Source organism: Homo sapiens, chromosome 7 (genome assembly GCF_000001405.40).
Source record: "Homo sapiens chromosome 7, GRCh38.p14 Primary Assembly".
Lineage (NCBI taxonomy): Eukaryota > Metazoa > Chordata > Mammalia > Primates > Hominidae > Homo > Homo sapiens.
The window spans coordinates 40492469-40518468 of record NC_000007.14 but is presented as its reverse complement, the minus strand read 5'-3'; the positions used below and the strand labels follow the sequence as shown (position 1 = coordinate 40518468).

Sequence of the window (26000 nt, the reverse complement as noted above, 5' to 3'; positions counted from 1 at the left end):
TTGGTTTATTAATGACATCTTTCTACAACATAAGTAATCTGGCTTTCATTATCTAAAATATATTTGCTTATGTGTTCAAACCTAGTATACAGATAAAATAGTCTCATAACTGTTAGCCCATACCCATTTGAAAAACAAATTTACCAATTGGAAGACATTGTTTGGATGTAATAATCATTGTGCTTGGCCTTACAGGCTCTGGTCAAAATAACTGGTTTCAAGGCTACTGCAATCAGCTCTTTCTTCCCTACCCATTTCAGTGTGGTCATTCATTTGTCACATTCTGGATTCCATCTTGGGTTCTCTTGGTATCCCGGTTGATTTTTTCTTCATATATATACTATTTATACTGTAGGCTTGAGTGAATTTTGATAAGTGCATAAAGTTCTGTGTCCACCACCACAGTACCATATAGAAGAGTTCAATCTCCCGCCAAATTCTCTTGTGCTACCCTTCTGTAATCACCGCCTACCTCCATTCTCAAGCATCAGCAACCACTATTCTGTTTTCTGACTCCATAGTTTTTCCTTTCAGATAATGGTGTATAATTGGAATTATATAATATGCATCCTTTTGTGGCTGGCTTCTTTCATACAGCAATATAGATTTAAGATCTACCGGGATGGGTAGAAGGGGTGGCAACTTCCAGAATGACAGCATGAGGACCTTCATGGACCAACTACTCTACAGCAAATCAACCATAAGTGGTGAAAATCATTATTAAAAACAACATGTAACACTTCTATAAATCATCCTCAGAGCATACAGCAAAGAAAGACATGCTTAGAGAGGTAAAATCTGCTAAATTTCAATAAGAACATCAATACTAGGCCCAAATATCACACTTAACAGATAAAATCTTCAAAACAGTCATTATAAATATGTTCAGACAGCTAAAGGAAACCAACACCCTTTTATGATAAAAACACTCAACAACTCAAAATACAGAGGAACCTTCTAACCCTGATAAAAGGTACCCATGAAAAGAACACAGTAAACTTTATTCTTAATGGTGAAAGATTGAACGCTTTGTTTCTTAAATCAGAAACAAGACAAGGATATTTGCTCTCACCAATGCTATTTAACATTCTACTGGAGGTCCTATCCAGGGAGATCAAGAAAGAAAAAGATAAGAAAAGAAAAGAAAAAGACAAGAAAAGAAAGTCATCCAGATTGGATAGGAAGATAACATGAGCTTACATTTAAAAAATCCTAAGGAATTCACATCGAAAAAAAAAAAAATGCTACTGGAACTAATAAGTGAGTTTAGCATGATAGAAAGATACAAGATTAACCTACAAAATTAATTTAATTTCTATGTAACAGCAATTAAAATAAAAAATTCAAAAATGAAATTAAGAAATAAATTTCATTTACAATAGTATCAAAAAGAAAAAATTACTCAGGTATAAATTTAACTAAAGAAGTGAAAGACTTACTTACTAAAAATTGCAAAACATTTTTGGAAGCAATTAAAGAAGACATAAATAAATGGAAAAACATATCACCTTCATCGATCAGAAGACTTAATTAATATTGACAAGACATCAGTATGAACGAAAATTGCATATTCAATGCAATTCCTAACAAAATCCCAGCTGGATTCTTACAAGAAATTGCCAAGGTTTTCCAAAAATTCATGTGGAAATGGAAGGGGCCTAGAAAAAAACAAAACAATCTTGAAAAAGAAGAAAAATGAGGTACAGACACTTCTTCATTTCAAAACTTAACAACAGAGCTACAGTAATCAAGACAGAGTGGTATGGGCAAAAGGATAGATATATAAATTAATGAAACAAAATAAACCCTCACATTTATAGTGAATTGGTTTTCAACAAGGGTGCCAGAACAATTTAATGGGGAAAGAGCAGTCTTTGTAATAACTGGTGCTGTGCCAACTGGTTACTCACGTGCAAAAGAATGAAATTAGACTCCTACCTCATACCCTATACAAAAAAAAGACTCAAAATGGACTAGAGACTTGACTGTAAATGGTAAAACCATTAAATTATTAGAATAAAACATATTCCTAAATCTTCATGTCCTCAGATTAGGCAATAGTTTCTTGGATATGATACCAAAAGCACAAGTAATAATGTTTTTAAAAATGGGTAATTAGTGCTTCATCAAAACTAAAAACTTTTGTGTGTCAAAGAATACAATCAAGAAAATGAAAAGAAAACTTACAGAATGGAAGATAATATTTGCAAGACATTTTTCCAGATGCTCTCAAGAACTCTTATAACTCAATAATAATAGACAAATAACCAAATTTTTAAAAGGACAAAAGATTTGAATAGACTTTTTTTCAAAGCAGACAACGCGTCAATAATACCTTAAAAGATTTTCAACATCATTGTCATTAGTGTAATGCAAATAAAAACTACAGTGAGATACAACTTCATATACACCAGTATGGCTATATTAAAAAGAAATGAAAAGAAGAAAGAAGAAAGGGAAGAAGGAAGAGAGGGATGGAAAAAAATAAAGAAGTGTTGGCAAAGTTATGAAGAAATTCAAAGCCTCACACATTGCTGGTGGATTTGGAAAATGGCGCAGCCACGTTGGAAAATATTTTGGCCATGGTTTAAAATGTTCAACATAGAGTTATCATATGCCCCAGTAATTCCACTCTTAGGTACATACTCAGAACATTGGAAAACCATATGCTCATACAAAAGACTACATGAATTTACATAGACATACTATTCATAGTAGCCCAAATTTGGATACAATACAAATGCCTATAACAGATAAATGGCTGAGTAAAATGTGGTATACCCACACAACAGAATATTATTCAGCCATATAAAGGAATGAAGTACTGATACATGCTACAACATGGAAGAACACTGAAAACATTGTTCTAAGTCAAAGAAGACACTCATAAAAGTACACATTTTCAATAATTCTGTTTACATAAAATGTTCAGAATAGGCAAATTCATAAAAACAGAAAGTAGATTAGGTTACCAGCGATAAGGGGAGGGAAGAAGGGTGCGACTGCCAATGGTGTTTCTTTTAGCAGTTATGAAAATGTCCTGAAATTAGATGGTGGTGATGGTTACACAATTCTGTGAATGTGCTAAAATCCGTGGATTATCTACTTTAATAAAAAGGTAATTTTACAGTATGTGAATACCCCAATAAAGCTGTTTTTGTAAAAAGGTCACATAGTGTATGATTCCATTCATATAACATCCTTGAATTGATACAATTATAAAGCTGGAAGACAAATTAATGATGGCCGTGGATCAGGAATGAGGGTGGGTGTGGGTGTGGCTCTCAAGGGGTAGCATGAAGGAGATCTTTGCCCTGATGGAACAGCTCCGTGTTTTGATTGTGGTCATGGTTACAGAAATCTACACATGTATTAAAATGACATACAACTCTATATACACACACATTGTAACTATGCCAGATTCCTTGTTTTGCTGTTATACTATAATTATATAAGATGTAATTATTGAGGGAAATCAAGTGAGAAGTCCACGAGACCTCTCTAACCACTTTCAGGATATTCTGTGAATCAAATTATTTCACATTTAAAAATAAAAACATGTTTTTAAAAATAACTTCCATGGTCTTTAAATCTCATCTTTATCATCAATATCCTGATTATTAATTTGGCTCTCCATGAGTTCCTTAATACCTGAAAAGTATGCCGTGGTAAAGAGACGTCATGTGTTGCTGGCTTTGAAGCAAATCTCTCATCGCAAATACATAGCTTGCCTTTTTTTTTTTTTTTTTTTTTTTTTTGAGACGGAGTTTCGCTCTTGTTGCCCAGGCCGCAGTGCAATGGCACGATCTCGGCTCACTGCAACCTCCGCCTCCCGGGTTCATGCTATTCTCCTGCCTCAGCCTCCAAAGTAGCTAAGACTACAGTCATGTGCCACCACACACGGCTAATTTTTTGTCTTTTTAATAGACATGGAGTTTCACCATGTTGGTCAGGTTGGTCTTGAACTCCTGACCTCAGATGATCCAGCCTCCTCGGCCTCTCAAAGTGCTGGGATTACAGGCATGAGCCCCCACGCCTGGCCTTAGCTTGGCATTTTTGTTTGTTAATAAATCTCATATTTTTCTGTAAAATAGTAAGTTAAATTGTGATTCTTTTCCCCTGGTGCTTAGCATAATGCCTTGCACAGCTGGCACTCATGAAATATTTGATAATAAATGAAGTCTGAATCTTCAGGTCTCAGAAAACAAACTGAGCTGTGGTGACTCTACATCAGGACTGTGAAGCCCAGCCTAAAGGAAACATCAACGTCAATTTAAGGCATCTTCTTTTCTATGCATAAGTTTCTGAGTCACTGAAAAAAAAAACAGTCCATATTTAATTGTACTTGTACTAAAGTTTGCATAAAAATACTTCCCTGATGCCGGGCACGGTGACTCACACCTGTAATCCCAGCACTTTGGGAGGCCGAGGCGGGCGGATCACGAGGTCAGGAGATCGAGACCATCCTGGCTAACACAGTGAAATCCTGTCTACACTAAAAATACAAAAAAATTAGCCGGGCATGGTGGCAGGTGACTGTAGTCCCAGCTACTCAGGAGGCTGAGGCAGGAGAATGGCCTAAACCCAGGAGACAGAGTTTGCAGTGAGCCGAGATCGCGCCACCGCACTCCAGCCCAGGTGACAGACCAAGACTCTGTCTCCAAAAAAAAAAAAAAAAAAAAAAATACTTCCCTGAGCTTAAAGATCACACAGTAAGCATTATCTCTAGGAGAATCCCCTAATTTAAATAAGTCCTAATTATAGCTCATAAATATCTTCAGGACGAAGGTCACTTTTTCAAAGCCATGATGTCATTGAGTGCCTGTGTAAGAGGATGGTAGAGTATAAAAGAGCATCTTGCCTTACTGTGTTTGCTCCTGTACAAGAGTATCCCTGAGGTTAGGTAGGTCCTGGCTTCCCCCTACTTTAGTGACAATTTGAGAATAAGTGAAATGGAGCTCTCAGGAAATAGGAACTGAATCTTATCACAGAACGCCTCTTTAAAACAAGTTTTATGATCCTAAATGGCCAAAAACAGAGCTCAGAGCAGGTTAGCTTAGCCCAGTTGTAGTTCAATATAGCTCCCCAAGATGCCCACACATATCCATATACTAAAGTAGCTGATTTCTGGTAACCTGAAGCACAGTATAGCTTTTACAGGGCTCATTCATTGGTCATCCATAGCTTGATTATTATCAGAATTTGAGTTTACCAGAAGCTGAGGCCCAGAGTTCTGACTAACAGGGTATAAGACAAAGGTTGAACAGTTATGGTGGGCAAGATCCCAAAAAATCACACGATGTATGATTTTTGGTAGGTTGTGTTAAATGTGGCTTGGACCTGAAGACTGCTATCTTCTAAACTAAAGCTCCACCATGGGACTGATCTCCCCTACATTTGTCAACTGTAGATGTATACAGGCGTATCTACATCCCGGATCATGCTGGGCTCCATTGCCCAGAAGGATATTGATACTCAGGATCAGCAGAATCCTCTCCTGCTGGTATGAGTCTATCTGCTCCACTTCCAGTAGCTGGCATCATAGTATATGGTGCTACAATTTGAATATAGATCAAACTCCCCAACATGGCATACAGGCATTCCAAAACTGACTCTTAGATTCCCCATTCTCATCTCACTATCTCTCATCTGCACTCTATCCTCTGGCCATGCATACAACCTGAGTTTCTCATATTTCCCCAGCAGTTTCACACTTACCATTTCTATGCCAGTTACTACTTCTGCCTAAAGTACCTACCCCTTCACCACATTTTCCACATTTTCCAGCAAACATCTTACCATCTTAAAAAAAAAATTTCCATCATTTTAAAGTTCTTTATGCATGTACTATCTCACTCGTATATGAAATAAATGAAATATAAATCATTAAAATAAATAAATATTTAAAGAAAACTGAGGCATATAGAAGTTGAGTAATGCCCAAAGTCACCCACTGAGTAAACGACAGAGCCCAAAGAAAAAGCCAGGTCTGTCTAACTGTGTAAAACATGTACACAGCCACAGCACTCTATCTAAAGTATTCTGTGGTTCTAGAATGGAATCCTTGCAGAATCTTTTAAAAATTCAGATATCCATAACTCCATCTTAAACTTGTGTTTCTTCTTGCTGGAGCTCTGGGATATGTATATTGGGAAAGTTTCCCAGGTGACACTGAGGCACAATGTATTTGAGAACCTCCACCTCATGATATAGAAGGTCTTAGAACAAGTATTGACACTTCAGTGTACCACTAGGAATTGGACAGCATCTGAAACCAATTTTGGTGATACACCATTTTTCAAAAAAGTTAAATGAGACATGTCTATTTTGCAAAACTGAGAATCTGTAGAGAAGTACTTCCAGGAGTAACTGCATTCTGGTAACATTTAATTACATTTTGTAAATTAGCAAAAATCTGTTTTGTAAAGAAAAATGAATTTAAATTATCTTTCATTTAAATTCTTGACAAGGGATCAACTACAATTGTGTGGAGAATAGATTTGATTTGAACATTTGATTGAGTGTGTAGCTGTCTTAGTGGTCCTCAGGCATCAAAAATAAAATCTCAAGTATGATGAAGAAATATTAATAATATTTCAGGCTTTATACTACTCATTCTTTCATGTTTTTGGAACAAGAAAAGGAGGATTATTGTAATCAATAAGTGTGAAATGAGACAAAAATGAAAACCATGGCATATATAGGGCTCCCCCTTTGCCATTATACGCTTTAACATTTTTTAAAAATTCAAGGCTCTTTGTCTTTGCATTTATGTAATGTGAGATATTTGAAATGAAATTTGTTTTGTGTTATTTTTGCTTTTTATTTAAAATAAATTCAGACTTGCAAAAAAGTTGTAAAGTGAAGTTTTCACATACTCCCATCTCAACTTCTACTATTAACATCTTACCTAATCATGGTAAAATTATCAAAACCAAAAAATTAAAATGGATACAGGGCTATTAACTAACCTGCAGACTTAGTTTGAATTTTGTCAAGTGACCCAGTAATGTTCTCTTCTCTGGGTTAGGAGGCAATCTAGGATCCCACACAGCATACAAGTGTCATGTCGTTCAGCCTTCTCCAGTCTGAAACTGTTCTTCAGGCTTTGTCTTCCATAACCTTGATGCTTCTGAAGAATACTGGTCAGCTTAGGGACAATGGTCCCTAAGTTTAAGTTGGCCAGATGTTTTCCCACAATTAGATTGAAGCCATGCATTTCGGGCAGGAAATTGAGATTATACATGATACCAAGGGGTACATGATATGGAAGTTCGCTCTCGGGATGTATGATGACTTGGTTAAGCTGATGTCTATAAGATTCTTCCACAGTAAGGTTATTACTTTTTCCTCTGTAATGACGATGATGGAAAAATACTATGTCTAACTGTGAAAACTATGTACACAGCAACAGCACTCTATCTAAAATATTCTGTAGTTCTAGAATGAAATCCTTGCAGAATCTTTTAAAACTTCAGATATCCCTAACTCCATCCTAAACCTGTGTTTTCTCTTCCTGGAGCTCTGGAATCTGTATATTGGAAAAGTTTCCCAGGTGACTCTGAGGCATCCACCAATGGTCCTTTTTCCCACAACAATTATTACTGTGGTGTTTACCTAAGGGTAACCTTCTATTTCTCTTCTGCCTTCTAAGTTTATTAATTGAAATTCTACATTTCACATTTATTTATTTATTTATTCAACCATTTACTTATTTTTGTACGACCTCATGAATACTTATTTTATTCCGAAAAGTATAATCCATTAATATAATTTTGTAACAAAAATGGTCCCAAAGTGGCTGTTGAAAACGCTTAACGTTGCCTCTTTGTACTTCTGTCATGTTCCTATCATTTTGTGAAAACTTCCTTACTTAATAGAACCACAAGACGTTCCAGGATTATATTATATTTGAGGTAAAGTATGGGACAGATTATTTAGTACTGCTCAGATACCAAAAAACAAGATTTCTTTTTCCTCCCTCACCCCGACCAATGCAGACTCTGATACTTTATCTCTCTTTCTGAAAATTCTGGTTTCCCTCACACTCCAAAACACTGTGTTTACCAGAGAACACGGAATAAGTGCTAGATAACTATCAAATGCCTTATATAGAAAAATGATATTTAAGGAAAGTAGTTTAAGAACAAGCTAACCATTCATTCCTCTATATCAGATTTTCTCTGTCTTTTCAACAAAATCATTTTATTTTAATAAAAAAACAGAATTATATATGTAATTAAAAAGCAATACAGTATTATTAAATATATCTATATACATTTCCAAAACTATAACATTCGCTTACCTTATAATCAATATAATAAATAATGTTTTATAATTCTGGTTATTTATTATTTTATACAATATATTTCCATAGCTTGAATTATATATACTATGAAAATTCAAATTCCCATGAATAAGTACTTACAAAATATCTAAACTTTTAGAGCACTTCAACTTAACAACTATGTCAGGATTTTCTTCAAGCAAATGATCAAAAAACTTTTTTCAAAAATAGTAAGAAAATGTTGCTTTAAAGTTGGAACATTCAGGTTGCGGGTACAATGGAGCAATAACTCTACACCATCTCTCCCACTGAACACAGCTCTAAATCCTGGACAGAATACAAGGAGCAGCTATTTGAGGATTCAAAAGTAAATAGCAGCAGATGGACTGAGGAAGAAGAACAGAATTCAAATACCAGCAAACAAGTGGTAACATGATTAACTTTTTTACTCCTGTATCCCCTGGTCTGAACTCAACACACAACAAACAAAGAAGTGAGCCCTGAAAAGCAGACGGAAAGAAAAAGCCCAGGAGAAGCCTTTTAGTTCTGGCTTATAGGAAAGGGAATGCAAAACACTCAGAGAGAATGTAAAAAAAACCCTCAATTAAAAAAAAATTATTTTGTTCATTTGCCTACCCGCTGGACTTCAGGCAATCCTCTGCTGACAATGGTAACAGCAGCAGTGACAAAAGAGGGAATGGGAGTGAACAAAAGACAAAACCCTAAGAAAGGAAACATTCCTCTAGGTTTAAAGAAATGACAGTTTCCAAAGGGTACAGCCAAATACCATTGGTCTTTTTCCCTTTGTGATCTCCTGCCACATAGCCCCAAAGACAGTGTGGCTGCGGAAGTGCACAGTAGATTAGGGTAATGAAAGTCATAGTATTTTGGCCAAAGGACCAAAAAAAAGGTATCCCTAAAAACTGGAAATAACCAGGGAGATCATGAGAGAAAAACTTGAGAATATGACTGTATAAAGTTGCTTATGAATCACATAGTTTATACCAGAATAATTTCTGGCAATCTACTTATGCCAATTCCTAAGCCCTATGAAAGATACTAGAAATCAACGGACTTTGTTAGTCCAGAAACATAAATTTTAACAAAGCTCCAGGATGATTCTGGCCCATGTGTTCTTTGGGAGATTACTCCAAACACACTACTGTAAAACGTCCACACTTTTCTTTCAAAAAAAAAAGCGAGATAGGAGATCACAGCTAGCAAGGTCAGGGCAAGGAGGCTGAACACCACAGCAGGGCACAGTCAGACATTCTTGAGGGTGTAGGAAATAACTGGAAAGAGAATAAGCACCAAGCTCAGAGTAAAATAAATTTAGCACATTTATTCTGATAGGGTAAAGATACATTTGGGTTATCTTGGAAAGAGGCAGGGTAAAGTGTGCAGGACAGGACTTTTGAAATATACCCTCTTCTTAGCAAAACAGCAATTTTTCTGGTGAAAATTTTTTTTTTAAACTGAAATTCTCTGGAAATTACTGTAGGTCATATGGCAAATGAAAAAACATTCATTCAAGAGAATCAACTAAATCTTAGTAAGAATGGTGAGGGTCCATGGCATTTGAGCCATGGCTTATTCCATTAACCTCCACCATCACTACCAAGCTCTACACCTCTGCATTACAAAAGCTTTAACCGAGGCAGTCTACTCCAGGCAGGTGCAGCCAAGATAAGGAGGGCTTCCTCTCCACCTACCTTCTACTCTAGGACTATGGCTTTACCCCATGAGGAGCAGGCTGCTGTGTTTTTCACTTCTCATAGCCTGTGCTGCAGAAGCTATATTCTAGGCAGACATAGCAAAAATGACATGGTCTGCCTTCCCCCATCCCATCCCCACACATAGGGTGGAAGCTCTACCTTAGGCACGGCAGGCCAAGGCACCGGGGTTCTTGTTGCCCCTGTTACAGCTTAATTGTAGGTAAAACGATCCACTGCAGAAGGACCAAGCCAAAAAGACTAAGGGCACTCACCACCACCACTTCTAGTTCTCACTCTTAGAGCAGGAATGTTACTCAGGAAAAGTGGAACTTACCCCAGAAGTCTGGTACAGTGGCAACAAGGTTTTGGCCTGGCAGAAAGGTAGGTCATAAGGATGAAGAGTTCTCCAGCTCTGCCTGAGGAGGCTATCCTTACGTGGAAGAGAGAGTGGAGAGCTCTAAGTCTAAGGGCATTGTTGAAAACAATACAGGTTTTTCTGGGGAGCAATTAAGAGAAAGATGTTAGCTTCATGATACTAGCAAAACAGCAGACAAGCAAGTTTAATAGAATCAAGAAAAGAGACAATCAAGATGAGCCCTTCTGAGATCACAGGCAACTCTGTATGCAAGAAAGGATGTACACATATGTTCGGCTTTACCAAGAAGGGGTAATCAAAGCACAATTTGGGGCCAGACCTGAAAGTATTCATCAGGTTGCATCCTGACCCACCCAAAACGCAGTAGCCTCACTGGCACGAGGTACTTAAACTCTAACCAAACACTGAGTGAACAGTAAGCTGCTCTGACCCAAGGGCAATGCCTAGAAAGCTAGGCTTCAAAATCACACTCATCCATGGAAGTCTGGGCAACTATGTCCATATCTAAAGGCTGGGTCCTCTCAGAAGCAATGGCAGAGGGAATCTTCACATTACCAGACCCCGGCTGAATGTGGATGGGTAGCAGGGGTAGGGGGGTGAGTAAACTACCTTAACTGTGATAGCAGTCTCTAAGTCAAGCACACACATCCAACGGTAAAGGATAAAAAATATAACTGGCTAAGAACAACCTTTGATCAATTAGTAGCTTATAACATATGAAGAGTGACCCCTAGAGGTCAAGATTAAAATCTCCTACCCCAAGGTGGCAGATAAAAACAATTGGAAAGACTCAGAGCTGGGACCTCAAAAGCTATGCACTGTAGAAAAGGTGGGTGGCGAGGAACATTTCGCAGAACTGGTTGGGCAAAGTTAACGTCATTTGAACTAGTGAGCAACAAACAAAACAACCTTAAAGGTCGGGGAGGGGAGATCTAAAGTGTTCAGTTAACAACAAAAAATTATGAGACACACAAAGCACAGTAAAGTGTGACCAACATACAGAAAGAAGAAAGCTGGCAACAGAAACTTCCTTTGAAGAGATCCTGATGGTAGACTTAGGAGAAAAAAAAACTTCAAATCAGCTGTTATAAATATGCTCAAAGAACAAAAGAAAACCATGCCTAAAGAAGTAAAGGAAGGTATGTTGACACTGTCTCCTAAAGGAGATAATATCAATAAGGAGGTAGAAATTATTCAAGTTATTAAAACGAACCAAATATAAGTTCTGGAGTCCAAAAGTACAATAACTGAAATGAAAAATTTACTTGAGGGGTTCAACCATAAATTTGAACTGGCAGTAGGAAGAATCAGCAAACTTATAAGATAGATTAATAGAGATAAGCAATATGCAGAACACAGACAAAAAAGATTGGAGAAAAATAAACAGAGCCTTAGAGAAATATGAAACATAATAAAATAGAAGAACATAAGTATAATGGAAGTACTAGAAGAAAGAAGAATTTTTAAAAATCAAAGAAAAAAATGGCTGAAAACTATTCAGATTTTATGAAAAACATCCAAGAACCTCAATGAACTCAAACACATCAATTGTATAAACAATACGTCCAAGAAGCTGAATGAACTCAAAGTAGATTAACTGTTAATAGAACCACAAACATCCAGACATATCATACCAAAAATGTTCAAAGACAGAGGAAATCTTTCGTCCTTGAACAGAGGAGCAAAATAAAAATGATACATTACACTCAAGGGAATCTAGTAAGATTACCACATTACTTATTATCAAACACAATGGAAGTCAGAAGGCAGTGGAATGACATATTCAAAGTGTTCAGAGGAAGAAACTGTCTAACAAGAATCATACCCAGCAAAATATTTTTCAAAAAAGATGGCAAACTAAAGGCAATCTCAGATCAAAAAAACGTGGAAAAAAATTCACATTGCTAATAGACTTACATTAAAATGAACACCAAAGAAAATCTTTTAGGGTGAAAGTAACTAATATCATCAACACACTGAATCCATGCACACATAAAAAAGAGAGCACCAGTAAAAGTAATCATGTATGCAATTTCACAAAACAATACAGTTGAATATTTCTTCTCTTGATTGATTTAAAAAGCAATTTCAATAAACAATATGTATATAAATGTATTGTTAGGCCTTTAACATATATAAATGTAACATATTTGACAATAATTACACAATCATTGTGAGTAAGAGCAAAAAGCTATATGGAAATAAGAAAAAGATACCATTTAATAACTCAAATCAATAGCAAGAAACTAAGAATAAGATAGGGTTAACAAAAAGATTACTATAACAAATATTATCAATATAGACTTGCTCTTATTTCTTTCACCAGCTTCCATAAAAGATTTAACATTATATGACATAATATTAAATAAATCTAATACTATAAGAGTATATTGTTGAGTTTTTAATATACATAGATGTGTTTCATATGTATATATGCACACACATACAAAAAGGAAGTGTGTAGCAGAAAACATTGTTTTGTTGTAATTAAATCAGTACAAAACTGAAGTCAATTTCGGTAAATTGAGATGCATATTACAAGGCTTAGATAAAACAATAAGAAAACTCAAAGATATTACTTTAAAAATTCTTAAGGGAATTAAAATTGTATGCTAGAAAATACCAGCTTAGTACAAAAGAAGGCAATAAAGTGGCAGCAGAGGGGTAAAAAAGACATAAGACACATAGAAAACATAAAGCAAAATGGCAGATGTAAATGCAACCTATCAATCAAAACATTACGAATGGCTTGAATAACCTAATCAAAAGGTAGATATTTTCAGATTGAATTAAAGAAAAAAAACAGGATCCACCTATCTACCATCTACATGAGACATACTTTAGAATCAAAGTTACAAACAGGTTGGAAATAAAAGGATGTATAATATAATCAACCACCATGAAAGAGAATAGAGTGGCTACACTAATATCAGAAAATAGATATTAAAACAAAAATGTTACTAGAATTAGAGATACCTTCATACTGGTAAGACAGACAAAGGGACCAAATAGACATCTACAAAATATTCCAACAGAATACAAATTCTTCCAAAAATACATGAAATATTCTACAAAATGGATTATATGCTAGGACATAACAAGACTCAATGAATATAAAAGAGCTGAAATCACACAAAGTATGTTTTCAAACACAATGAGTGATATCAGAAATTAACATTAGAAAGTTTGGGAAATACATAACAGTGGATACTAAATAAGACATTCCTAAATCATCAAGAATTTATAAATAATCTCTTTATATTAATGGTGAATTGATTTTGAGCAAGATTAATTGACATGAAAATTCACTAGAAAATAAAAGTCTTTTCAACAATGGTACCGAGACAACTGGATCTAGGCCGGGCACGGTGGCTCACACCTGTTACCCCAGCACTCTGGGAGGCTAAGGTGTGCGGATCATTTGAGGCCAGGAGTTCGAGACCAGCCTGGCCAACATGGTGAAACCCTGTCTCTGCTAAAAACACAAAAATTAGCGGGTGTGGTGGCACGCCCTTCTAATCCTAGCTACTGGGAAGGCTGAGGCATGAGAGTTGCTTGAGCCTGAGAGGCAGAGGTTGCAGTGAGCCAAGATTGTGTCAGTGCACTCCAGCCAGGACAACAGACCAAGGCACTGCTCAAAGAAAAAAAAAAATCTATTCTTGGCCAGGTACATAATCCCAGCACTTTGGAAGGCTGAGGCAGGAGCACAGGCAGAGGCCAGAGGCTGAGACCAGCCTGGGCAACATAGTGAGATCTCATTTCTACAAAAAATAAACAAAATTATCCAGGCAGTACAGCCTGGGAAACAGAGCAAAACCTTGTTTGTTTGTTTGTTTGTTTGTTTTTTAAAAAAGAAGAAGGTCTATTCTCCCAACAAATTTGAAGTAGAAAATACATTTTCCTTAACTATAGTCACTATACTGTACTTTAAGTCTCCAGAACTTACTCATGTTATAAGTACCTTTATAAATGAAAAGTTTTATATTTGAAAGTTTGTACTCTTTGACGAACGTATCTTTCCATTTACGGTTAGCAAAGCTGACCTTCATTTTATGTTTATTGATTCTTTGGATTTTCTGAGTTTGTACAAAGTGGCATCTTATGTCTTCTGCCCATTATTCTCTTGGAAATTTTAGTGTTTTCTATTGTTTCTAAGAGCTCTTAAGATATTTATGTTACAACAGCATTCGGTCATATTCATTGCAATAACTTAATATTGCTCTGTAACTAAACTTTGTATTTTTATCATACCGATATGTACTTTACAGGTTTTCACTTTTACTAACCAAATTTATCGATTTCTTTTCTTTCTGACATCTGCTATTGCATTGATGCTTAGAAAACCTTTCCTTTTCTTAAAATCTAACTGATTTTCATGAATACTTTCTTTTAATTAAAAATAGTCTACAGTAAACTCTGAAACCTCTATTATCTGGGCATAAAGCATAGATATAATCTTAAGAGAAAAGTAACAGTTAATTTCCGTTATTTCAAACAGAAAATGTCTCCCTTTCTCCTCTTATTTGTCATGCTATTTTTATCACATGCCAAATCTCTATGCATGTTTTAAAGTTTTTCTTTATGTTTCATTGATCTATCTCTTTATTTTTTGCTAGCCCCATTATTGTGGTTTTGGAATATATTTAATTATGTATGATAATGCTTGCTTCCTTCTCATTACTTATATTTAAACATACAAAATATTTGCTATTCTCGTCCACATGTTTTTTATGGTAGACTTGAAAAACCACTTGCTAAAAAATTTCAGAAAAATATTCTAACAGGACTTTGATTGCAATTATATTAAAGCGATAAGTAATCTGGGAATAATTGATACCTTAACAATATTCAGTGTTTGCAGCCATGAATGACTACGTCTCTACATATATTCAAACCTTTTATGTCTCTCAATCAAGGTTAATATTGATAGTTTTCTGTATCTAGGCCTCGGATTTTTCTTTTCAACTCCCTCAAAAAAACCAAGCCTGAAAGCCCTAAAATCTGACATTATTTGTATGAGAAAAGATAGTTGCTAACTTATTACCTGTTTTCATTTTGTTACTATAGAAATCATTTGTTTGAGTAAAAGCTTTTCCTTCCAATACAAATTTAGGAGGTTGCCAAAAAGAAACGGGTAGTAGAATGCATGCTAATTACGTACTCCATATAGGACTTTTAAAATACGAAATTCTTATGCCTTCAAAGCAAATACTATGATGATATTAAGTCTAAAATTATATGTTAAATTTAGTTGGAGGCTAACAAATGAAAATTAAAATAACTAAAAAGTGAGGAAAGCTGGAGAATAAAGTGAAGAACAAACTCCCACATATTTTTATAATTGGCTAGCTTGATCCCGCCAACATTGCAGCCAATAGCCACATATGGCTACTGAGTACATGAAATGAGACTAGTCTGCAACAAGTGCTATAAGCATAAAATGCACAATGGATTTCAAAGACTTAGCACAACATTTAAAATGTTTCATTAATGTTCTCCTTTAATTTTAATTGCATTTATATTTTGAATATTTTAAGTTAAATAAAATATATAATTAAAATTATACATTTTGCTATTAATTTAATATTGAATTAATTTTGCTATTTTATTTTTAAAATTTGCCCATTACACAATTTAAATCATAAATATGGCTTGCATTAGATTTTTATTGTAAAGCACTGTGCTAAACTGCTTTCAAAAATTAGCTGGTACTAATTACTCTTTATTCTGGGTTGCAAAATGCCCCCAAATAGTATAATTCAGTTTTCTTGATTTTAATTTTTTACACATTAAAACAATTATGTCTTTGGCTTGCAAGTTCAAAGTTTAGTAAAAGTCAATGATTGTACTATATATTTCCACTCTGAAATATTATAGAAGTGTTCAGAAAACATAAAGTACATATGTGGAGCTTGATGAATAAACTATAGCACATGCTAGAGAAAGAGCGAGAAACAGAGAAAGAATAATGTTATAAGACATCAAAATATATTTTATGTATCAAGGTCACAAATAATTTCAAAATTACTAAATAGTAAAAGCTGAAACCCTCCATTATCTTCTTCTTAGTCATTAAGAAGAAATTTATTAATAATAGAATAAACTAATTACAACAGGCATTTGAAAGGATAAAGAGTTCTGGGGCAAATATGCTTAAGACATTTTAAATTTTTTTTGTCAGATTTTAAACTTTTGTTACATCATTAAACAAGAAAACCCCAAGTTTTATGCCTGTTATTTCTTGCTATTAGAAATGCTCAGAGCATTTATGGGTAACCCTTCTGTGACACTGAACACTTTCTACCTTAACCTAAACTGCAAAGTCCTTGAAATTTTGACAGCTTTGTCCTCTTGATTCATTTTCTACCATCGTACCATTCCTTGCCAAATACCAAACACAAGACCATACACATAGTGGATGTCAATGATGATTTACTGAATGAAGGAAGGGATGATTGAATGAAGGAAGGGATGACTGAATGAAGAAATGATTATGATCTCCTATGTCCCTGTGTGTTATAGCTTAAAGACATTGTGTCCATAAAAAATGTGTCCAAATTTTGTAGGTATATAGAAGAAAAAGAACATAAAATGCCCATAATGTTATACTAAGTCCTTGATTCTTATTCGACATTTTAACATTTCCTCTTAAATAATAACACAGGAAGTTTTTTGCAATACGATAATTTTCTCAACTCAAGATAAAACTGTACACTATTGCCTCATACTTTATATATTAATAAAAAACTGGGAGCTTAAACTCTCCATTTTTATTTTATTTAATCACCTACATCAAAAATACATTATTTCTTCAAATACTTAAAATATTACACCCAGGGATGATAAAACAAATACACAAATAATATGATGTATCTAAATTTGTACATCAGTTGAATGTGTCATGTATATTCAGAGACACACATAAAATTTATGTTTTTATCTCCTTGCCTGCTAGGAATTATTTCCAGACCTACTATTTTACATCAGATCTTTACCAACAGTTTTCCAGTTGCAAAGACCACTGTATATATGTATTTCCCAGCAGTATTAGAAACAAGAATATAATTTTGCTTGACTTGTATAACCCTCTGAGGGCTATGAAACTGCATTTCAAGAAATATTAACTAATGTCATTTGAAAGGTGATCTTTAAAATGCATCAGAAGTGAGTGTGGGTGTGTTTGTGTGTATGTGTATGTGTATGTGTTTGTGTGTGTGCGTGTCTGTGTGTGTGTGTGATAGAAAGGTCTTGAAAAATAACTGTATTTTGGGGGTGCTTCTGAAGTTTGCTATATGAACATTGGCCTTTTTTAAAAAATAAGATGCTCAGATATTTTGCCAAAATGTGCTAAAACAAAATCACTCAGATAATATGAGCTAGTCTAGAGATTAATAAACTCTCCAATTTCAAAAGCTTATACAAATAATGAGATGAAAACAGACAATTTTCAGCCATCAAATATTTCAAGACTTCACTCTGTTTCTATGACATATTCATCCCATACAAAAGATTTGCTAAAGGGGTTGTAATGGCCTTCTGGGACAGGAAGAATAAGGTTTCTGGAGAAAATGTTAAATTAATTTTGATGGTGATGCAAAGTTAAGAAAGGGTTGTTAAGGGATGGCTTGCTGCCACAGGGTGGGGTTTTGTTTTGGTATCCTTTTAGAGCCTGCAGGTGTTTGGCACTAGTTAAAATCAGGGCCAGCTGTGATATTTCAATAGTTCTGATATTTTCCTCCCAATAGATCTCAGAAGTGATGCTTCAGGGTGATGTCTTACACCTGATATATTCGACTTGTGTGGTACAAATGTGAAGACTCTATTAAATAACACCAGGTTTGTGACACCCTGTGCCCTCTCTTCCCTACCCTCAGGTCATGGCATCCATGACAAAGAAAAACACTAATCAGAGGCTTCAATCACTCATAGTTTTTAATTGAGCAGTTTAATCAAAGATGGTGATATGCTGGAATCACCAAGTAAAAAGTCTTAAGCAAAGCCTGAAAGCAGAATGGCACATTCCCTTTTCATTCTCAACGTAGACAATGATGCTTTTAATCCCTCTCAGTGGTGAGATATATACCTATGTTTGCAGGAATTTGAATAGTTTCTATTAAAAGCTGTATTTTCTTTTAAGTGTGTTTCAGTTGGAAACCCTCAAACCACAATGTATTTCATGCACATGTTCCCAAGGGTATGTTAAATAGGACCATACTGAGGTCATCTAGTAAGTTTTTGAAACTTTTTAAGAATTCCTTTAATGTACTGCACAATCTTGGCTTGATTAAAAGAAGATATTTTAAGAAAGCACTTGGAAAAATGACTGGCTATTAAAATCTATATGCAGATAATCTATATTATACATCTATAATGCACAGAGCTTTCCACAGATAATTTGTCATTGAGAAAGACAATAAAACTCCCACTCTAAGGGTTTTGAATAAAAACTCCTCAGAACTTTCAGTAAATGCAGACCAATCCCCCTCCAACCAGCCTGCAGTATTCTTGATTGACTTAACAGTGTATGCCTGCAGGATCACTTTAACTGTGCAAAGGTCTGTCACATATAATCAGAGGATAAAAGGTAGACAATCTCTCATTTATCCATGAAAAAAAAATATCATCTGTTGTTTTGATTGAATCGAAAAATCAAGTTACCTCAATCCATGAGACTATGATGAAATTGTTAGGCTAGAAATAGTTTCTACCATCAAGTAAATTTTTGTTGTCTCCAAGTTCAAACCACAAATGAAATGCTGTAAATGGTCTACTTGAGAAGTAGGCACTCAAATTTTTCTGCCGTTACTGAGTCTCCCAATCCTGGCTTTTGTTGTTGTTGTTAGACATACCCCTTTTCACTTTATCAAAGTCTCCATTCCTACGCCATGTTCCAGGCCTTGTACTTCACCCAAAGCAATTTCCAGTTGAACTAGCAGCTGTGCTGGCACAGCGCACATGGAGAGTGGGCCACACGCGCCAGTGGTGCGTTCCCACATCTGAACAGAAGTGGCCGTTTCCATGCACCAAGCGCCAAGAAACTCTGCAGCTCATCAGAGGCAAAACAAGGGAGGATACCTTAAACGGAAATCATACTTAGAAAAAACTTTTACGGAAAATGAAAAATAAAAGGATTTTCAATCATCAGAAATGAGGAAGGGAACTTCTCTTCTTGGCATAGATTTTGCAGATATATTTTTATAAAAGGATAGTAGAGTGCAAGCTTAACTTAATGATCCCCATCCCCAAAGCTACACTGGATTTTCCTCTATCCACTACACAAAGGTAAGTAAAAGAAGTTAAACAAGAATATAACCTTAAAGGGCACCATCATAACCACAGCTACTACTAGGCATTGGCTGTTTACCATCCTGCAATCCTTGTGCTGTTCCCTTCATAAACAGTATCTCAGATGCTATTTCACCATTTTACACTTAAGGAAACTAAAGTCTAGAAGTTTATAATAAACTGCCCACCAATTTTGACTCCATGGTCTTAACCATTATGTTACACTGAGTTCCCTCAGATCACCAAGGGTTTTACAACCAGCCCTGAAGATAGAGCTTGTCAGCCTCACTCAGGAGTACACAGGATGATAGTTCTGGTGGGGAGGATTTTAAAAAGGGGAGGGGGGACTGCAGAGGAGCAACTTGATTATTTGGAAAACTTGCACATTCCAGAGTTAAACAACTCATTAACCCCTACCTTTCTAATAAATAAATTCAAAATGGACTTAAATAGCAGGTACACATTGTGTACTGAGTTTCTGCTAAGTCACAAGCACTGGATATATCATAAGTTTGTTGAATAAATGAATGAACTAAGTCATCACAGTTAGATGTCATCTGGAGGGTTTTCAAAAATAATCTGTTTTACACAAATTTACACACAGGGCAGTTTGTAGAGACATTTGTAATAGTATGAAAAGCTTGTACGTTGACTTAGGTAATATAAATTTTCTCCATTTTGGAAACTGGCTAATGACTGAAAATATGCCATAGACCAATAACAAAAATTTTTGTAGTTCCAGAAGAATTGAGATGCAAAGATTAAAGTAATTACATTGAACCACAAGAGAAAATTAGTTATAAAAATCCTAATTATCCTATATTCACTTTGAGCTAGCCAATAAAGTGAATTATTTTAAGATAGTGGGTGGGATTATAAATCTTTGTTTATCAAAGCCTAAAAAATAGGTAGTGTTAGAATATACTTAATATATTTTTAAATAATATAATTATTTAAAAATAACTCTTTGCTTTGGTGCCTTCATCTCTAATAAAACACAGATGGAGCAATAGAAATGCTGATGGAAAAACTCTTAGGAAATATCTCCAGAAAAATGTACCCTCAAACTGAGGTAAACATGAAGTTCTACGTACACCTCAATACACGACAGCTTCAAATGATGGCTTGGCCTCACTCAAAGTTATAAAGTGAGAAAAACAGTCCCCTGGTCTACTATATTCAGAGTATGCACAATGCTACCTCCTTGTAAAGAATCACCAGGCATTAATCCACTGATGGTGTGGGGTCCCTTTCAGATGAATTCACATAGTACACACCAAATGGGCCCCTTTATCTCAAATACTTATTGACCATTATTGACCAAAGTTTTAACATGAACAAAGCCTTGAGATATTCACAATCTTGGCCGAAAAAATAGCACAAGCAGAATTCCTGAATTCATTCACTTTTTTTCTCCAGTAAATGTAGTAACCATTAAATTTAAAATATTTCAATTTTCTTTTAAGCAGATATTCATGTAAGATAAAAGGCACCAAAGGTTTTCCAACAAAGGTCTCCTCCCTCAAAAGGTGTATTCTATGCTCAGTAATTTATTTCTAAGAAAAACCTGCCACGATATAAATATAAAGAACCCAAGAAAATATACCCCATGGTTTTGAATTTTGGAAACTGACAAGACAGTTGAATAATCATAGTGAAAGCTTTAAAATGGACTCCCTGTACTTTTGGGGATCGATGGATGAATTTGAGAAATGGTAAATTGCTTGTAGTTTTTTGATTGAAGTAATAAAATCAAAACATTATTTTCACATAATCTAAAAATAATCACTTGAACAATGTTATAAAGTAAATATATTTTCAGGTGACCCTGTTCCTGGAGCCCAAAAAGGAGCCTGATAAGCAACGTAGAGCACAAATATCTATCTGTGTAAAATTTATGCCTTACAAATAACACATATTCATCAAAGCAAACAAAGTCCTCTCATCTGCAGAATTAAATATGACTTGCTCTGTACATTTTAAGATAATCATATGATCAGAGAGATAATCATATGATCAGAGGTATAATCATATGATCAGAGGTTTAAGATAATCATATGATCAGAGGTATGAAAGTTCTCATATTTCTTCCTACAAAGAATAGTCTCTGAGTACCCAACCCCAATATCTCAATTGTGTATATTTCTGTTTTTCAGGAAAATTAAATACCCTGGCCACAGAAACTTCATGTAGTGGCTGATGAAGAAATACAGTATATTAAATCTAACAGAGACATAAGTATGCTTATGGACAGGCACTTCTAAGTTCTGGTTCTTTTTATCTCAGACCCACAAACAATTTTAATATGATGGTGAAAATTCACATCATGTGACTTAAGCTTGCGATCAATGGCAAAGGTACCTTGATATAAGTCAATCTGGACAGAAAACAGAGGCGTTGTTAAACTTCAAAAACAAACCTGAGGTTCTGCAAATACATTCTTCATGTTGTTGATTGGGCCATACGGGACTCCACTGCCTTCAAAAAGATATAACCACTTGCTGGTCAGTTCTTCTTCAAACCTAAGAAGACAAACAAGGATAAATTTTTTACACAGGAAGGAATGTAACACAGCCTCTTCTATCATGTGGCCCTCTTTGAAAGCAAGCAATAGTCATAAAACTATGTTTCCTAGTCTTTCTTTACACCTCATTTGAGAGAAGGTTGTCTGTATGAAATGACTTGAGTGGCCCTGTGGTGGATAAGAGTAGCCACCCAGGTGCTAGTGTTTAAAAATCCATCATTTAGAGATGTAATTCTTCCTATTTCTATTGCTATGAACTCTCTGAGCAATTTATGAATTTAATAATAATAATATCATTGTACTTTGAGCGTGAAGTCATTGGGCAATATGTCTTTTAGGTCTCAGGTAGTGGAAATCGGGTTAGGATAGGCACTGATATATTATTCTTCAAAACAAAAAAAATACTAATATAGCTGTTTTAAGAAAGCTTTGGGAAAAGTACACAAAAATTAATGGTCACAACCATTGGCCTACAAACAACCTTTGCACTGTGATTTACTAACCAGCACAACTCAAGACATGCAAAGAGTGATATTTCAGTTTAACCAACAAAACTCAAATTCATCCAAATCCTTTGTCTGTTTTATTTCTACTATAATTTAAAATTGGACTTCATAGACAGAAAAGCACATGGATTTTCTTTATTTTCTCTAATAGGTCTCAAGGAAGGGAAGCTAACACATTTATGAGATTTATTGTTTTATATTTCTTCTCTGTAAAAACAGTGAACACAGAAATAAAATCTTGGATCTATAGGGACACCACAACACAATTAGTTTCTAAGGTATGAAGAATTTCAGAATTATTGATTATTAAAATATCAAACCTGTTTTAATTAATTAATAATCTAGGTAACCAAAGAGACATTTTTAAAATATTAGCCAAAGTAGACTAAAATGTTTTACTAATATGAAAGGGCTAGTGAAACAATAGTAGAGTATTCATGGACTTCCCTTCAGTTCTCCTGTACATAGCTAGAATTAGCTTCAAATCTGCAGACTCCAGAGGAAAATGTATTAAATTTACTTCTTTCACCATTAAAAAAAAAAAAAAAGCATAGAAATAGTTTCAGCCGGGCGTGGTGGCTCACACCTGTAATCTCAGCACTTTGGGAGGCCAAGGTGGGTGGATCACCTGAGGTCAGGAGTTCGAGACCAGCCTGACCAAAATGGTGAAACCCTGTCTCTACTAAAAATACAAAAATTTAGCCAGGCATGGTGGCGGGTGCCTGTAATCCCAGCTACTTAGAAGGCTGAGGCAAGAGAATCCCTTGAACCCAGGAGACAGACGTTGCAGTGAGTGAGGTCGCACCATCGCACTCCAGGCCTGGACAACAAGAGCAAAACTCCATCTCAAAAAAACAAACAAACAAACAAAAAGAATAATTTCAATACTGAAGTACACTTCATTGATTGCTATGTAAGAGAAGAAATGAAAAACGAGAAATAAAAAGAAAAAAATGGAATAAATGTATGTTCCAAAATAAGGCTACTATATGAACAATGATGTTCAATCATATAAGTTTTTACTTAAGGATATAATAAATATTTTTTATAAAGGTAGTATTACATTTCACTAGGAGTCTAATCAATCCTATCCACACATTCATTTACTGATTGCCCACTATACACCAAGTATTGATTTTTGTTTTTAAGTATATGCCTTCCATTTTCTCTCCAATTTGATGGATAAGGATTTTTTATTATACATTTTAATTTCAGCCCACTAATGTTAACTACCCCTATTTGGTATACAATAAAATACTTCACTTCTAAATATAGTTTTAAAAAATCTTTCATAAGAATAACAATGCAAGGTTAAATGTTTGGGCTCTAATCAATTCTTTACATTCTTACTTTCTTTTCAATGACTGTTCCAGTCATCTCCTGGCCAAGGCCTCCTAAAATATATATAGATAAATATCATCAAAATGATATATGCTGAAAGAATAAAAGAGATACTTTGAACCTGCAGCCTTTTCGAATAGGGTGTCAATTACTTAAGTTTTCATAAATGGAGTGTTAAAACAGTTAGCCTGATAAATTTTCAAGACAACAGAATTTATCACCACTGGACTCACCAAAGTGGCCTGAAAGATCTACACAGAAAATGCATGTCAATATCCAAACAACCCATGGCTGCAGGTTAGCCAACAGAAAACTCAGGGGAATAGTTGAAGTTTTAGTATTTATATAAGCTTTTCACCACTGGGCAAAAGAGAGGGATTTATTTCATGTTATGGAAAACAATGGATGCACTCTGGAAATGAGACTGCGGGAGCTGCAGTTGTGACCACTGTTTGCGTCTTTGCGTGGGTGTGGGTGTGGAAGGGTTCTGAAATGCCATGAACTCAATCAGAGAGAGACAGAACATCGTTGCATTCCACTGCTCTCAGAGGACATATCCATCATTTTTTTTCTAAAAATCTATCTCTTGATCTAAATCGGATGTGGAATCCTTTATGCAAAAAGCTGTAAGCACATGTTTTTATTAACCACAAAAATTCTGCTAAAAAAAATTTAAAAAGCTGATCTAAATCACTCAGGGCAATAGATTTCAGAAGATAAGACAAAAAGAATGTCCTCAGATCCAGCTTAGCAAGTGAACCTAGGGCCTTCACTGGGAAATTATTTGGAGACTCACAAACAATTCAAATTTAATTGGCAACTTACTAAATCAACACATATATTTCATTCTAGATTTTTGTAAATTCACTTAATACTGGGAATGAGTATTATGAATCAAATGGTATCATTTAGATAGGTGAAGCACAGCTGATGTTAAATTTCCTAACATCAACATTCCACTTAAGAAATGAAACATTTTTCTCTTTATAAAATGAATTAAAGTTGCAAATGAGACAAATACAAGACCAGACAGAAACTAACAAGAGATCTCAGTCATGAAGGTGAGAGTTGGAAATAATTGTGACATTAGTGACAACGAAATGCTGGTTATTAAATTGTTTAGTCTATATTTTGTCAATTTTATCTTCACAACCACACTATACAGTATTATCCTCATTTGACCAATAGGAAACTCAGGTTCAGAGAAATTAACTTGCTCAAATTCATTCAGCTTTTAGAGTCAGATGTCATGTTTAAAGCTGAGACTGCTTAACTCCAAAACCACGTTCTAACACATAATGACTGTAGCAGAATACACTCAGAATGCATAGCTTCACATATTTTATTCATTATATATGGTCACAGCTAAAAAATGAAGGAGCAGAGGTGAAACTGTTCATTTTTTGCACTAATAATATGCTTCTTCACTTCTATCGTATATACCTCAGTATATATTATTACATTGATACACATTCATTCCCGATGCTTTTAGCAAGAGTTTGTTTTGCATCTGCCATGGAGATTGCAATAAAAAAGACCGTCCCTGTGTTAAGAGTTCATATAGTCTAATGGAGAACACAGCTATGAAAATAGATGAATTACAATGCAGGATGCTGAAACAAAGTTACGAAGAAACAACTTATGGTTGAAGCAACAAAGAGGGAGACTTGCACTGGACCCACGGAGGCAGGAAAGCGTTCAAAAACAACGCGATATTTGAGCCAAGTGTTGAAAGACAAGTTAGAATTAGACATATGAAAGATGAGAGAAAGGCTCTTCCAGGTAGAGAGAGCAATATATACAAAGATCTAACTTGGAAAGAATCTGAAATCTCCCGTGCCCCAAGTGGCAGAAGATGAAATGTGACAGAGAGTTTAGAACCAGAATGCAAAGCAACTTGTCTGCTGTGCTAAGAATATTGGATTTCTTCTTGCAACAAGGAACCCAGAGAGGTCTTTAGGCAGGG

The 26000-nt window shown here is 35.1% G+C and overlaps 1 protein-coding gene across 18 annotated transcripts in view; it reads right to left on the bottom strand.

Annotated features, from left to right (window-relative positions):
* SUGCT (succinyl-CoA:glutarate-CoA transferase) overlaps window positions 1-26000 on the bottom strand; it is a 903812-nt gene that overhangs the window by 520348 nt on the left and 357464 nt on the right. For all 18 annotated transcript variants that reach the window (XR_007060157.1, XR_007060158.1, XR_007060156.1 and 15 more), the window contains one exon: window positions 22083-22185. Coding sequence is in view for 15 of the 18 variants with exons in the window: in XM_047420840.1 (XP_047276796.1) it covers window positions 22083-22185 (103 nt within the window). In the remaining 3 variants the exon portion in view is untranslated. The remainder of the gene's footprint in view (window positions 1-22082; window positions 22186-26000) is intronic.